The sequence below is a fragment of the Homo sapiens genome, chromosome 3, assembly GCF_000001405.40.
Source record: "Homo sapiens chromosome 3, GRCh38.p14 Primary Assembly".
Classification (NCBI taxonomy): Eukaryota; Metazoa; Chordata; class Mammalia; order Primates; family Hominidae; genus Homo; species Homo sapiens.
The window spans coordinates 138042498-138059820 of record NC_000003.12 but is presented as its reverse complement, the minus strand read 5'-3'; the positions used below and the strand labels follow the sequence as shown (position 1 = coordinate 138059820).

Below are 17323 nucleotides of genomic sequence, written 5' to 3'. Positions count from 1 at the left end.
TACGTATAAATATAAGACAGTTATATATAATGGCCACCTCGTATTCCAGGCAAAGATTACAAAAGTTTTTTTAACCAGACATTTCTACTTTTTGCATTTTATAAATCATGAAGTGATTAAAAAAATGTGTATATGTGTCTTTGTGCACTTGATTAAGATTTCCTTAAAATAAATTCTTAGAAGTGAGGTTGCTGGGCCAACATAATAATGAAAGCCAGCACCATATGCCAGGCACTGGTCCAAGTTTGGTACCAATATTATGATTTAGCCTCACAGCAGCCCTTGAGATGGATGCCACTATTATAGTACATGCATTTCATGGGCTAGGAATTGAGGTACACAGCAGCTAAGAAACTTGTTTTGGGTCCTGCCACCAGTGAGTGGTGTGACTGCAATCTGACTTTGGCAGCCTGGCCCTGGCACTCTAGCTCCTTTCCCCATGTACTTTTGTTACATATTGCCAAATGCTTTCCAGAAAACTGGAGCCAATTTAGTCTACTAGTGTTTGGAGCACACAAGAAAGCTAGTTTTTGCATTCCCTTGCTACCAGGGATATCATTAATCTTTCAATGTTTTGGCCACGTGATACGTGAAAAATGAAACCTCACCTTTTAAGAAACTTGCATTTTTAAGATTTCTTCTAAAGTAAAATTATTTTTTATTTCTTTTTCATGTTGGTTGTTGCTATTTCTTCTTTTATGAGTTGCCCGTAGTTCACTTTTCTTGTTGCTGTTTTCTTTATCTCTTTATTATGAAAAATTTCAAGCATATATAAAAATAGAATTGTGTAATGACCTTGGTGTTCCTATTACTCAGTTTTAACAATTACCAACCCATAGAGAATCTTGTTTCCTGTATATCTTTCGCCAAATAATATTGTATGTTTTAATATGATACTGCATATTATTCCAAGTAATATACATGTAATATTACATATTATCCCAAATAATATCATTATGTCTACAAACATTTCTGTATGTGTCTCTAAAAGATACTTCCTTTTCAAAAATAACCATTGTACCACCATCACACTACAACAAAAATCAGTACTTTTTTTCTAAATGTCATCAAATATCAATTCTCTGTCTACAATTCCTCTATTTTACTACACATATTTGTCTTTTTTAACCTATAGATTCCTCTTTCATTTTTCCCTCTTTCCTGTCTTCCCTTCTTCCCTCCTTTCCTCTCTTCCTTTCCCTTTTCCTTCCCCATGATTTTTATTATTTTTACTGTTGCTGAATAAATCAGATTGTTCATCTTGTGGAATTCCCCACAGTCTGGGTTTTGCTGATTGATTACTGTGGTGGTATTTAATGTATTCCTCTTTCTCCTGAACTATCTGTAAATTTGTAGTTAGAGCTAAATACTTGATCAGGTTCAGCTTTGACTACTTTTTTGTGTTTTGGCAGGACTCTTCATTGGTGGTTTTGTGCATCTCCATCAGGAGACACAGAATATCTTTTTCTCCTTTCTTGTGATGTTGGTGATGGCATTGGTGATAGACATTGATGACCATTGCCTAAATCCATCTTTTTTTTTTTTTTTTTTTTGAGACAGAGTCTTGCACTGTCACCTGGGCTGGAGTGCAGTGGTGCGATCTCGGCTCACTGCAACCTCCGCCTCCCGGGTTCAAGTGATTCTTCTGCCTCAGCCTCCCCAGTAGCTGGGATTATAGGCGCCCACCACTATGCCCAGCTAATTTTTTGTATTTTTAGTAGAGACGGGGTTTCACCATATTGGCCAGGCTGGTCTTGAACTCCTGACCTTGTGATTCGCCCTCCTCGGCATCCCAAAGTGCTGGGAATACAGGTGTGAGCCACTGCGCCCAGCCCAATCTATTAATTAGAAATCTCTAAAAGTTTAATAGTCTGTTTGTTATTCCTTTGACATTTACTAGCTGGAAAACTTCTGTAAAGAGGAATTCTCCACATCAAACTGTCTGGTTGCTCTGAGGTGCAATTCATACAGGTAAAGCAGCTAAAGGCTCAAGTCTTTCTTTTTTCAGAATAATGAATGAGCTTCCTAGTATCTTCAATAGGTGTCATACAACCTTATAGATTTAAATATATTTGATTTGTTTAAATCCTTTGTACTATTATCCTTATTAACGCTGAGATTGTACTGTCTTGGGGTGCCTCTTTAATTTGGTTCTCGAATGATTTTGATATGACCTTAGTAGTCCGATAGCTTCCTTCCAGGCTCATTGCATACCTTTCTTGTCCCAGACCTAAAATTAGTAATTTATCTGGGGGAATCCTGGTTTCTTTTAGAAGCAAGTTATATTTATAGACATCTGGGTGCTAGGAGTGCCTATCACTACTGGACTTACTGTTTCTAAGATCTTTCAGTGCACAGAGATAGGAAATACAATAAAAATATTGTGAGTTCATGTTGATATTCCCTATTCAAATTCCTGACTACAGAAGTTTTACTTTATCTCGTTGACCTAACATGTGTATCGCTTTTCTTCCATACCAAAAATCCTGGCTGTTAACATCACAATCATAGTCTTAGACATAACAATACCCACCCTATTGCTTATTGTATGAATACTGAAAACAATTTAAAATTTATTATTAACTTTTTTGGAGTTGTTTTTGTCCTTAAGGTAGATCCTACTTGGAATGTCCAGTTAAATTACTGTGTTATAAAGTCACTTGTAGTTCTTTTCTGTGGTTATGCTACTGAATGCCTTATTTTACTTTTGATTTTTAGACTGCATTTTTATTGTGTAATTTGTGTCTTATTGCTCTTAAGAGTTTTTAATATATTGAAAATATTAGTCCTTTATTATATATGTTACTTTTTCTCCTTTCTAGTCAATCATTTGTCTTTTAATTATGTTCATGGAGTTCTTTGCTATAAAGAGATTTTAAGTTGTAGCTGTCTAATTAATCAGTGTTTTACTTTGTAATTTCTGCTTTTGGTGTCATAATTAGGAAGGTCTTTTCCATTCTAAGACTTCTACATGTTCATCTATATTTTCTTTTACTAGTTTAAAAAGTTTTAAAATTTTGAATATTTAATATATCCGGATTTTTTGAGGGGTGTTAGCAGTAAGTTAGGAATCTATTTTATTTTTACAATTAGCCAGTCATCTCAGCAGCATTACTTGACAATTCATCCTTTCTTCACTTAAAAAATACCTGCTTCATCAAATGTAAATTATTGTATGTGGTTAGTCTATTCCTGGACTTTCTGTATATTTCATTAATCTGACTATTCTGTTACTATTCTGGTATTGCACAGTTTTGTTTTTAAAAATTCATTTTTAATTGTGGTAAAATAACCCATAAAATTTATCATCTTAACCACCTCTAACTGTATTGTTCGGTGGTGTTGAGTATATGAACACTCTTGTGCAACCAATTTCCAGAATTTTTCGTCTTCCCCAACAGAAACTTTATACCCATTAAACAATTCCCTATCTCCCCCCACCCAGTTGCAGGCAACCACCATTCTACTTTCTATTTCTATGATTTTGACTACTCTAAGTACCATGTATGGTAGTATCATACAGTATTTGTCTTTTTGTGACTATCTTATTTCACTTAGCATAATGTCATCAAGGTTTATCCATGTTGCAGTGTGTGTCACAATTTCCTTTTTAAGATTAAATAATATTCCATTGTATGAATATATATCATTAAAGAATCCATTTGTCTGTTGACACTTGGGTTGCTCCCACATCTTGACTATTGTGAACAGTGCTGCTATAAACACAGCTGTGCAAATATTTCTCCAGGATCCTATTTTTAACTTTTTTGGATATATACCCAGAGTGGAATTACTGGATCATATAGTAATCATATAGTCTATTTTTTTATTTTTCAGGAACCTGTATACTGTTTTCCATTTTATTTTCCCACTGACAATGCACAAATGTTCCTATTTCTCCCCATCTTTGCTGACACTTGTTATTTTCTGTTTTTAAAAAAATATCAGCCATCCTAATGGATGTGAAATAATATCTCATTGCAGTTTTGATTTGCATTTCCCTAATGATTTGTGATGTTGAGCATCTTTTTATATGCTTGTTGGCCATTTGTGTATCTTCTTTGAAGAGATGTTTATCCAAGTCCTTTGCTTATTTTAAAATTGGGTTATTTGGGTTTTTTGTTGTTGAGTTATAGGAGCTTTATATATTGTGGGGTTAGATATGATTTGCAAATGGTTTTCTCTCATTTTATAGGTTGCCTTTTACTCTGTTCATTTTGTGTTTTGATGCAGAATTTTCAATTTTTATGTAGTCACGTTTATCTATTTTTACTTTTATTGCCTGTGTTTTGGTGTCATCTCCAAGAAATCCTTGCCAAATCCAATGTTGTGAATATTTCTCCCTATCTTTTCTTCCAAGAGTTTTATAGCTTTAGGTCTTATATTTAGGTCTTTGATCCAGTTAAATTTTGTATATGTTATAAGGTGGGGAGGGGGGAGGTCAAATTTCGCTATTCCGGACATGGATATCAAGTGTTCCTAACACCATGTGTTGAAGAGACTGTCCTTTTCCCATTGAATGGTCTTAACACCCTTGTTGAAAATCATGTGACCATATATGCAATTTTTATTTCTGGGGTCTCTATTCTACTCCATGGGTCTACATGTCTGTCTTTATACTAGTACTACACTATTTTGATTATTATAGCTTTGTCATAAATTTTGAAATCAGGAAGCATGAGACCTTCACTTTTGTTTTCCTTTTTCAAGATTGTTTTGGCTATTCAGGGTCCCTTGAGATTCCATATGAATTTTAGGATAGATTTTGCTATTCCTGCAAAAAATGTTGGGATTTTGATAGAGATTGCATCACATTTGTAGATTATTTTGGGTAGTATTTACATCTTAACAATACTAAGTCTTTCAATCCATGATCACATGATGTGTTTCCATTTATTGGTGTCTTCTTTAATTTTTTCCAGCAATGTTTTGAAGTTTTTAGTGTACAAATCTTTTGTTTGCTTGATTTGGTGTATTATTATCTTATTCTTTTTGATGTTATTATAAGTGGGATTGTTTTCTTAATTTCTTTTTCAGATTGTTCATTATTAATGTATAGAAATGCAACTGATTTTTGTGTGTTGATTTTGTATCCTTTAACTTTGCTGAATCCATTTATTGGTTCTAACAGTGAGCTATTCTTAGTCATGGAAATTTTATCATATGTTTTACCATCTTGCAAGACACAGATACTCTGATTATTTTTCTCTTTTAGAATTTTATATTGGCTATTTTTCAAATTTGAAATCACATCACATTCTTGTGAGGCCATCCCAATCTCCACATATGGATGAACGCATGGAATGCTCTGATGGGTAGGTGCCTTCATGAATTCTAATTAGAAATCTTCTTTGAAGTTGAGTCTTGAACCTTAGTTGTGGGCATCTTCTGAATACTTCTAAGCAGAAAGTCTCATTTCTCGCAATTCTTCCTGTTCTGGATTCTCATTAGGCTAGTTCTCTGTAATGCAGGAGTATAGTCCCTGGTAGTGTGAGGTAGCATTGTGCTATAGGCTGTTAACAAAAAGTTTTGCAGTTGATCCAAGGTTGCTAACTTTTATTTTGCCAAGTCAGCACATAAAATAAAGTATGCAACAATCACCATCATTTTATAAAGGACACTTTAATACCAGAAGAGTAAGAAGATAAGACTCTCCAAGAATGGACAATTGGCCTCATACTTTGTCTTAGACAAATGAAAATTTAGCAATGGACCAGCTCTGGCCCACAGCCTAGCACTTGGGAGCTGCTGCACTGGTTTGTGTCTTTGGACCATACCAGCTCTTCCCTTCCATGACTGCATGGTTCAATATAAAAAGGGAAAATTTAATTAGCTATATTTTCTGAGGTAAACTGAAGAATGTCCTGAACTTATACATATAGGGATAACATTGATTGGAAATATATAATAGGTTTATAGTGACAACCTGAAAAAGGTTTTTATCACCTGAAAACCTGAGCCCACAATTTAGGAAGTAGAAGATGCTCTGGTCTTGTGGCTGGAACCTAGTAGTGGTGTGTAACTGAGATAAAGATGAAGACCATTTTCAGCTTTAGAAAATCCAAAGTGAATTACATATTTATAATAAGCTGACTCACATGCTATAACCAAATTCTAGGCTTTTAGGGAATCTAAGTAAAGTAACCTCTAAAATCAACAGAGCATCAAGTGTGATTCTGCACTTTTCTTCTCTTCCCCGTGTCTCTCATTGCCAGTTTCTTCTTTCTTTCTTTCTTTCTTTTTTTTTTTTTTTTGAGATGGAGTCTCACTCTGTTGCACAGGCTGGAGTGCAGTGGCCTGATCTCGGCTGACTGCAACTTCTGCCTCCTGTGTTCAAGTGATTCTCCTGCCTCAGCCTCCTGAGTAGCTAGGATTACAGGCATGCGCCACCATGCCCAGTTAATTTTTGTATTTTTAGTAGAGATGGGGTTTTACCATGCTGGCCAGGCTGGTCTCGAACTCCTGACTTCAGGTGATCCACCTGCCTCGGCCTCCCAAAGTGCTGGGATTACAGGTGTGAGCCACCGTGCTTGGCCTCACTGCCAGTTTCTGAGGGGAGCTGCGAAGGTCCGCTAAGTCCTCTCCAGGCTTAGGTGGAAAGGATGTGGAAGGAATTGTCCTGCACCTGTGTGGCCTTCTCTACATCTGTGTTCATGCTTGTGTCTGTTACAAAAGGTTGCAAGCCTATCTCCCTGCTGGATGTAAAGATGCAGGCTCAACGTTTAGCATAGTCGACAGAAAACAGAGCTGCCAGTGGAGACACTAACATGTGTTAAGTTCTTTGGGAAGGAGGTGTCTCTGATGCTTATATCACTTGCATCTGCCCATAGCAGACACTCATCATCTGATAAGCTGAACTGGGCCAATTCCAAGGCAGTAATTGTGCCAGGAGTGTCTTCATGTATTATTCCACCTAATGACAAGACAAGCGAGAAGAGCTAACCTAAGCAGGGAGCCAGAAAGAAAAATGTTTCAAAGGGATAGAGAGGACTTTAAGTAAAGCTTGGGGGCGGCGGGGGTAATATAAGGACCTGATCCAGAAAAGATGGGATGAGCTGAATTGTTCTTCCATTGGCAATAGCTGACCATTGTTAGGCTTTTGTGGAAGAGGAAGCTGCATTTTGTACTCAATAAACTATCAGTGCAATGGATCAAATGATTGGTATGAAAGAATAGAGAAGTGCCCATTGATTCTGCGATTCTGACCTCAATCAGGGATCTTAGAGAGGAGATCAGTGAGAACTTAGACCACATAGCTGATCACTAAGGGTTCATTGAACCCACAGATCCAACGGCCTTTTCTTTGGTAAATTGAGCATAATAGTCACATGGAGGGAGTGCTTTGGGTTCCCCGAGTGAAGGTGATGGGCTGGTTTAAAAGCTGCCACTGCTTCGGTTTTATTTTGTGCATGTCCAGCCAACAGGTGCCTTCCACACGGTGGCACTGTGGGCCACAAAGTGAATGGCTACACAGGCACTTTTTAATGACAGGCTAACTTCACTGTAAGAAATAAGTGGGGCTCCTCCAGCCTGCACCACCACTCATGGTTTGGCAGGACTTGATGAATTGTCTTATTCATCCAGGCAACTCTCCCGTGATTAAAAAACAAAACAAAACACAAAACCCCCAACATTTAAAGATAGAAAATGGAGCAGGACAGGGTATGGCCTCTCTTGCTTTCCTGCATACCCTTGTGTTGCCACGGCCCAGCTGAGGTCCTTGCACAGAAAAGGCAATCAACAAATATTGATGGGTTTCACAACCTGTACCTGCACTCAAGGAGCCTCACTATTAGGAGCTTTTCCGCAGCCTGGAAATATCCAGCATGCATGGCAATCCCACACTGAAAGGTCCTTATGACCCTGTTGCTTCCTCAGCTGCTGTACCATTTCTGTCATTTTGTTTGTGGATACATCTAATTGATTTGTCTATACCGGCTGAATCCTTTTCCTCATTCTGCCAGTTTCTTATATATATTCACTCTTAACTGAATCTGAGCTTTGGCTGACATGCCCTTGAACTGCCCTTGAACTATTCCTCACTCCTCAACTTCCCAGCACATATGCATACCACCACTATTTATTTTCTTTCTTTCTTTTCTTTTCTTTCCTTTTTTTTTTGAAACAGGGTCTTGCTCTGTTACCCAGGCTAGAGTGCGGTAGTGCAATCACAGCTCACTGCAGCCTCAACCTCCCAGGCTCAAGAGATCCTCCTCCTGCCCCAGCCTCCTGAGTAGCAGGGACCACAGATCCAGATAACTTTTTATTTTTTATAGAGATGGGGGTCTCCCTATGTTGCCCAGGCTGGTCTTGAACTCCTGGGGTCAAGTAATCCTCCCATCTGAGCTTCCCAAGGTGCTAGGATTATAGGTGTGCACCACTGTGCCTGGCCCCACTGCAATTTTCATTATCTCTGCCATCATCACTACCACCTCCACCTCCACCACCATCATCACCACCACTACCTCCTCCACCTCCACATCCACCACCATCACTACCATCACTCCACTACCACCATCACCACCTCTACCACCACCACAACCACCACCTCCACCACTACCACCTCCACCTCCACCACCACCATCACTACCATCACTCCATTACCACGATCACCACCTCTACCACCACCATCACCTCCACTACCACCTCCACCTCCACCATCACTACCATCATTTCACTACCACCACCACCACCACAACCACCACCTCCACCACTACCACTAACACCTCCACATCTACCACCATCACTACCATCACTCCATTACCACCATCACTACCTCTACCACCACCACAACCACCACCTCCACCACAACCACTTCCACCTCCACATCTACCACCATCACTACCATCACTCCATTATCACCATCACTACCTCTACCACCACCACAACCACCACCACTACCACAACCACCTCCACCACTACCACTAACACCTCCACATCTACCACCATCACTACCATCACTCCATTACCACCATCACCACCTCTACCACCACCACAACCACCACCTCCACCACAACCACTTCCACCTCCACATCTACCACCATCACTACCATCACTCCATTATCACCATCACTACCTCTACCACCACCACAACCACCACCACTACCACAACCACCTCCACCACTACCACTAACACCTCCACATCTACCACCATCACTACCATCACTCCATTACCACCATCACTACCTCTACCACCACCTCCACCACAACCACTTCCACCTCCACCACCACAGCTATTACCACCACCTCTACTACCCCTATTACCATTATTACCACCCTCTTACCACCACCACCATCACTACCACCACCTCCACAAACACCATCTCCATATATTTATGCAAGTAATCTGAACGTTGTTGCCTATTTGTGAAAGTAGCTTCCATTGTAGAATGGGTGAAAGAAACTGAAGATGGAGGACAGGAGCTCCAATTAAAATTCTAGCAGCCACAAACTTGTTTTATGACCTTGGGAAAGTCATGGAACCTTTTGTTTTCTCATCTGTGAAGTGAGGAGGCTGGCAGAGTCAGTCCCCTAGACTTACAGCATATATAATTCCATGAATGCTGCAGGCTTTAGAAATTTACTTGTACCTTTAAAAAGGTTAGTCAATTTACTAATTATAACCTGAAAGTCTTTTTGATATTTAGAAAATCCTCTTGCTTTTTCTTTGTTCTTTGAAAATTTAGAGCTGCCTCATTTCATAATGCCTGAAGCCTATATTTATAATCAGCATCTATTTCATGGTTCCGAGCCGTTTTTCACATAATTGTCTTTTTTTTTTTTTTTTTTTGCTTTAGAATTAGTTCTTTTGTGGCTAATGTATAGCAGAAACAAAATGACTTTTGAAAAAGCCCTTCAGGAATTATGGGGTTCGCTGCTATATCATTAGGGGCCCACACAGCTCTGCGACAGAACTGGGTCTTAGAAGGAGAAGGCAGCCCTGTTCTGGGAGACGGAGGCAGGGGGTGTTTGCAGATCTGCAGTGGGCGTAGATGGTGGTTTGAGGGTGGCCTGGAAGAAGCCAGAAAATGGTAGTCTGGACTTGAGAGAGGAGAGGGATGAGGTGTGTCCAGGGAGGTCTGCAGGGGGCAGTAGATCACAGAGCACAGGGAGGATGAGCGCGGAGGGTGCAGGTGACAGCTCTGTTGCTATGTGGGGCACTCTGGGCCCTTCGGCAGGGAACGTCACCTTACCTAGGACCCCCAGATTAGTAGATCTAGGTGCATTTGGGCTTCACATGTCATGCTGGTGACATCATTGCTTACTTGCGATGTTGAGTCACATGTCAGCCTCCTGTGGATGTTGGCTTCCAGCAACTCCCTCTAATCTTGTTGCTGTGCTTTGTTGTTGAGACCAAATACAAATCCTACCCAGAGTATGCAGAGAATCTGAATGATAATGTTCTGGTCTTGTTAAATTTGCCATTTGAAATTTCATAATGTAAATGTAGCATGACACATCTACCAATCATGTCTTCTCTTTGACTTTTTAGGCCTTAACCCCCACATTCCTAGAATGTGATTTCTTTCAATGTTGACATACCCCTGCCTTCCACACACAGCCATCTGCAGGCCGGCTAGGCAAAAGGCCTGTGGATGGAGTGAGAAGAGCAAGATATGTCCATTGTGCAAGGCATGCCCAAACATTTTCCACCATGGCTTAAAACTGAAGCTGGAGAGCATGATGTCACCATGTCAGCTGGAGGCAAGAAAGGACATTGGTTGGAAGGGACCACTGGTGTTGCAGAGCAACAGTCTCGAAGGCTCTCGGAGGCTATGGCTGAGACCACCCCCAGAGGCCTGCTTCATATGTGGCATGAAGCCCGTGAGGTGTGGGGAGACTGCCCTGGGAGTCAGAGTTGGGCACGCACAAGGTGAACGATGCCTGCTGCCATTGGATGTCATAGACCTGAGGCAGCACTGTGAACAGAACATGGAAGGGTGAGAGTGGATGCATGGGTCCACACATGTGACAATGGGCTTTTGATAGCCCAGAGTTCTGAACTTATTCTGTGAAAAATGTGAGTGAGAGTCACCCTAAGTCAGACCTTCAGCACCATTTTAGGCACCCATACCCTAGGATGCACATCGTGGGATTCGTACTCTGGGATCCACACCTTGGGATCTCACCCTGGTAAGCCCACCTCCCCTTTGTGTTTCTCAAGCCACAAGTGAGTGGTGCTGCCACAGGGTTCTCCATCTAAGGCACGTCCACCTGGGGTATCAATTTTATTTGAATATCTGAGGGGATAAAATTAAGCATTTTAACTGGGAAATAACTTTATCTTTAAACAGTTACAACAGATATAGATGTATTTTGAAGCAGAATGCAACATGCACAATACTTCATACTTAGAGCTGTCCACTTGAGTCCTGGTCCTGCTGGCCTTGCAAGGACATAGGCTATTTCCTCTATGTATTTTTAAAAAATTTATTATCATTATTAACATATAATTAATATAATATAACTTCAGCACGTTAAGGTATACAATTCAGTAGTTTTCAGTATATTCATAATGTGCAACTATCCCCACAGTTCCCCTGTGTTTAAGGGTCCCTTTCATGGAAAGGTTCAGGAAGTGCTGCCTGCCGATGCCACTCTGCCTCCAGAGTAGAATTTGCAGCATCAGTGACAGGAGATAGGGAAAAACCTTTATTAGAGGAGGACTGGGTGTCATGGGGCTGCATTTTCAGCTCCTATCAAGTCCTTCCACTTAGGCAACTCTCCTTCTTTCTATTTGGGAGGCAGACCATTGCTTCGTGTGAGAGCTTGAGTATTCATGCTGTGATGTGTGGATTATCACCCAAAGAAACAAGGATGGAGTTTTCCTGCCATCGACATCACTGACTCACAAAGGACAGCTTAGAAACTGTGAAGACTCCTGAGAGACTAGAAGGGGCTGGACTTGCTTTTAATCAGGTTTCAATGCAGAGACGGGTGTCCTGTCAGTTCCCTTATTCAGAGACACGTTTGTTGTGGCATTAATAAACAAAGTCAGCATTCCCTGGAGACCAACAAAAGCCTGATCCAATGTGAGTTTGTGCGTTTCTGTAAAGATTTGTGGTGGGATTCCAGGCAGTATAAATAATAGTCTTCTACTCACTGCAGATACCTTGACTATTCCTGGGGGCCAGATCCTTGGTTATGTTTTTGTTTTAAATCACATTTTATGCAAATTCACAGGCAGGCTCAAACAATGGTGAGTCCTCTTGTCATTCCTGGCCATTAGCTCAGCTGAATGAAGATTCAGGAGTAGGAAAGCAAGTCTCTGAACTTGCCTCTGCTTTGAGATTTTCTTATCTTGCAGAGTCTCCTGAGATTTTTGCGACAACCATATACCTTCTCAAAGCCGTATAGCAAAGTCTTGCTAGCTTAGATCCTAAATTTCATAATACACACCCGTTGCAAGTTCCAAGAATTCACTGTATCAGAAAATAGCTCCTGCCTCTTTGAGAAATGGTAATTTTTTACGTAGCTCTGAATAACATAGCTATTCTTCATAGACCACATACTGTGTGCTGGATGCTTTACCCATTATCTTTAATCCTCACAACAACCTTGCAAGGTAGGTATTGGCCTCTGTTGACTGGGCTGCTGAGGCTAAGACAGGTTAGTAACTGGCCTGCTTTCACACGCTGGGCTAGGAAGTGCCCCGCCTCAAAATTTCCCAAGACACCCTCCCCAGCTTGTGAACCATACTTCTCAATTGGTCTCATGTCAGGAGAATTGAAACATGGGCTTTGAGTCAGACAGACATGATTCAGATCCTAGCACCAGTAACTACTAGATGAATGACTGGGCAAGTCAGGTAACCTCCCCAAGCCTCAGTTTCCTCAGCTGTAACTGTGATAAAGATGCTTTGGGAGGTAGTTATGGGAATGGAATGAGATGAATGCTTCCAAGTCCCCAGAATGGCATCAGCACATTGCATAGCAGACCAGAATCTCGACAAATGATCCTTCTCTTTTCTTCCTTATTCATCTTTATACATGTTGTGGCACCTGGCACAAAATAGGTACTCAAAGAAATATTTGTGGAAGTAAATTCAAAGGATTCTCCATGACCTTGTTTCATACGGACATCATGAAGTGGGACCCTCTCCAAAAGCTCCCTGGAAGAACAAAAGAAGTTTTGAAGCATGTCAAAGCTACTCATGGTTACAATCTTTAGGATGAGGCAGACAGACAAAAATAATGCTAAAAATAACAATAGTACTAACATTCTGAAGTAAAATTTACTAGGTGGAGTGCTGTTGCTCTTCAAGGAACAGCAGTAGTTGAGGATTGTCAAGTACCCTGAAGCACAAGGGACAATAAATGTGACAAGAACAGCTCCTGGGTTTGGGGGATTATTCAACAACGATTAGATTGGTTAGAGACAGTGCACTTTTGTATGTATATCCTTGCTTAAGAGTAGAGAAAATAAAATGTAAGATTTTTGAATATGTAACATGGGGTGTTAGAGTGAATGCGTCTTCACTGATGCAGGGAGTGTTTGGCCGGGGTCCATCTCAGAAAGGAATTCAAGAGGGCAAACATGTGGCATGTGTACTGCTGGTTCCCAGTCAGTCCTATGACAGGCATTGCCACTTGATCATGATAATCTTCCATTCCTGAGTCCTTCTCAGCATAGTCAGTTGGGATTGGCCTGAGTTGGCATTTAAGATCAAACAATTTGTTGTCCCTGGCTCCAAAAAGGAACACTTTTGTGTGCATTTAGTACCTGATATTCAAAAACTCCCTCCTCAGGAAGCTTCCTTTGGTCTCCTGACATGGCCAGGTCATGGCACCAAAGCTACTAGCACCTTTCACTACACCACAGAGATTTTAGTGAAATAGCCACATATATATATAAATTTTTTAAACTACTTTTTGCAATGTGTATGCCCTGGAACTCAGACATGAATCTATGCACACTAGCTTAGAGGACAATAGAAGTATCCCTCATCCCTACTCAAACTTGTTCTTTTTCACTTTTCTTCTCACGAGATGGGACTTCCCAGGACGTTGCTCATTCCTTATGTTTTCCAAGTCCACAAAACCCACATGATACAGTGGATATTTCTGTGGGAGTTGGACCTACACATGATCTTTAATAGAGGCCTGGCCTGGGTGTCCATGTTTTGATTCAGATGCATTGGCTTTAAGTAATAGTAAATCCCAACTGAAATTGACTTAAGCAATAAAGAAACTTACCACACATAAGGCCGGGCGCAGTGGCTCATGCCTGTAATCCCAGCACTTTGGGAGGCCGAGGTGAGTGGATCACCTGAGGTCAGGAGTTTGAGAGCAGCCTGGCCAACATGGCGAAACCCCGTCTCTACTAAAAATACAAAAATTAGCTGCATGTGGTGGCATGTGCCTGTATTCCCAGCTGCTTGGGAAGCTGAGGCAGAAGAATGGCTTGAACCCGGAAGGTGGAGGTTGCAGTGAGCCGAGATCACGCCACTGCACTCCGGCCTGGGTGGCAGAGCGAGACTCTGACTCAAAAAAAAAAAAAAAAAAAAGAAACCACACATTATGAAAAGTTCAGAGGCGGGGTGTTGTCAGGTGAGGAACATAAAGTAGAGCTCTGGCTCTATTTCCCCAGGCTCCTTTTGTTCTGCCTTCATCCATGTTGGTTCATCTTTGGGCTGCAGTATTCCAGTGTATCACATGTAGTCATGCGAATGCTTAGATGGAGGAAGAAGGTGTGCACATGTGTGTATGTATGTTTCCAAGGATGGAGCTGCCTCTTTTGTTGTCTCTTCATTAAAAGCGAAGAAGTTTTCCCTTCAATGAAGAAATGCTGGAATCTTTCCTTTTTGAACCACTAGTCAAAACTGGGTCATGTGCTCTTACAAAACTCACCATAATCTTGCCATATGATGTAGCCATCATGCTCCTTGGTATTTACACAAAGGAACTGAAAACTTACCTCCACACAAAATCCCACACACAGATGTTTATAGCAGATTTGTTCTTAGCTGCCAAAACTTGGAAGCAACCAAGATGTCCTTCAGTAGGTGAATGGATAAATAATTGTAGTACATCCAGACAATGGAATGCTATTCAGTACTAAAGAGAAATGAGTTATCAAGCCAAGAAAAGACATGAAGAAATCGTAAATGCATATTACGAACTGGAAGTAGCTAGTCTGAAAAGGCTACATACGGTATGATCCCACCTATATGACATTCTGGAAAAGGCAAAACTACGGAGACAGTAAAAAGATCAGTGGTTGCCAGGGGTTGGGGGAAAGGTAGAACATAGAAGATTTTTATGGCAATGAAGCCACTCTGTATGATACTACAATGGTGGATATGTGTCATCACACATTTGTTGAAACCCATAGAATGTATAGCAACAAGAGCGAATCCTGTCAACTCTGGGTGATAATGATGTGTCAATGTAGGTTCATCAGTTGTAACAAAGGTACCACTCTGTGGGGGATGTTGAAAATGGGAGAGTCTATGCACCTGTGTGTATGTGAGGAATCTCTGTACCTTCCTTTCAATTTTGCTGTAAGCTTAAACTGCTTTAAAAAAATAAAGACTTAAAAAATGAAAAGAAACTGGGTCATGTGCTCCATCCCCTAAACCACTCACTTGTAAGGGGAATGGGACACCATGACTTAGGCAAATCAGAATATACCCCTTGAGCCGAGGATAGTGCCATAGGAGGGAGGGGTTGATTTACAATATTAATAAGAAAAAAGTGATAGTGATGGTGGAATGGATGTTGAGTAGGCAAGCCAACAGTTCTTGCTCCACAGGGAAAGAGCTGATTGGATCAGAGGTGGACTCTTGAGAGAGGGGATCTCTCTTCAGAGAGGGGCGGCAGACATTTCATTGGCTAGTGGTCAATCAGATTTTCTCTCGAGAGAATTTAAACTAAGAGAAACATAGACTCTGCTTAGGCAGTAGTAGAAGCTTGAATTAGAAGTTCACACAGAATTGGATCTGGGTGGGGCAACCATTGTTAGTTGATGAGTAAGCATTTGGCAGGGACAGCCAGAATCTTGGAGTGGGTTTTCTGTTCCTTGCATATGAAAATACTTGACCAGGGTATTCATAGATGTATGCATCTTAGGGTGAGCACAGCTTACATTTAATCTGGGCCCTCTTCCCACCCAGTGTATGTATCTTTGCAGTTCTCAAACTAATGAAGCCATTTCAGATGGGTAAATAACACTAAAACTAAGATGATGACTGCTATTCAAGGCCCACCTGCTCTTGAGTGTCTGGATAGAATCCTCAGTGACATTTGTATGGGATTCCCCACCTAATAAGGTCAACAGGATATCCAGTTCCTTAGGTCTGACCCCTTTTTGCTAGGAGAATCCTGAGTGGCTTACACATTTGGAGCATGATGACAGCTGGAATTTCCAGTATTTTCTATGCTGGTCCCATGAAGGCTTTGATCATAGTTGCTGTTGCTACTCTTTATCTTGCCCTTACTTTGGAATGATGATTTAGCTTGGTGTAAAATTCTAGCTTGACAGTTGTTTTCCTTCTGATCTTCGAAGAAATGATTACAAAGTCTTCTGTCATTTTTTTGGTACTGATGTCAGTCTCATTGCCATGGATATGTAATACATATTTTTTTCTTATTTTAAGATGTTCTTTTTATTGTTGATATTCTCCATTTTCACTAGAGTGTAGCTAAGCATGGTTTAATACTTCTCAGGAGACAGAGTGTTTTCAATACTAGAACGTATGTCTTCAAGTCTAGAGACATTTCCTCTCCTTATTCTGACTATTCTCCTTTCTTGGAACCTGAATTAAATGCATGTTGTGAAGTTCCCCATCCTGTGTGTTGTGTCTCCAAAACCTTTTCAGTCATCGTATCTCTTTCCTTCTCGTATTGGGTCTTTGACTTGCTCTCCTCAGTCACTATTGCTATGTCTAGTCCACTGTTTAACTTATCAGTGTTTCTTGTATGAGTGACTGTATTTTAGATTTCCAGCATTTTTATTTTGTTTATTTTAAAATCCCACATGTTCCTCCATCCCCCCACCACACCATTCTTTATTTTTTTGGACATTTTACATATGCTTATTTTACAGTCTCTGTTAGATTTTTCTATTAGCTATAGATATTGAAATGAGATTTCTCTTGGTTATTACATTGGGTGGTTTTCTCATCATGGTTTTTTTCCACATGCTTTCTAATTCTTGATAGTGAGCTTATCTTTAGTGAGAGGTGTTTTTGTATGGGGAGCTCGTGCATGTCCTGGGGTGTGGATGCATCCATAAGGAGTGCCTACTATGGGACTCAACAGTTTCACCTACTGCAGGCTAGTTTTTTTCCTTTATTTCTTTAATTTTTAAAAAATTTGCTACA

The 17323-nt window shown here is 40.6% G+C and overlaps 1 long non-coding RNA gene across 1 annotated transcript, besides 1 other annotated feature; it reads left to right on the top strand.

Moving 5' to 3' along the window:
* The first annotated feature begins 4060 nt into the window (after window positions 1-4060).
* On the top strand, window positions 4061-15548 carry LOC105374128 (uncharacterized). Its single transcript, XR_001740930.2, has 2 exons — window positions 4061-5315; window positions 10493-15548. It is a non-coding gene; the product is annotated as an uncharacterized LOC105374128 (long non-coding RNA).
* Window positions 12145-12798: an enhancer, noted in NCBI's record as "NANOG hESC enhancer chr3:137765865-137766518 (GRCh37/hg19 assembly coordinates)". NCBI's record gives its function as "activates a minimal SCP1, AML or CMV promoter by ChIP-STARR-seq in naive H9 embryonic stem cells {active_cell/tissue: H9 hESC(naive)}" and the evidence as "EXISTENCE:reporter gene assay evidence [ECO:0000049][PMID:30033119]".
* Window positions 15549-17323: the final 1775 nt, after the last annotated feature.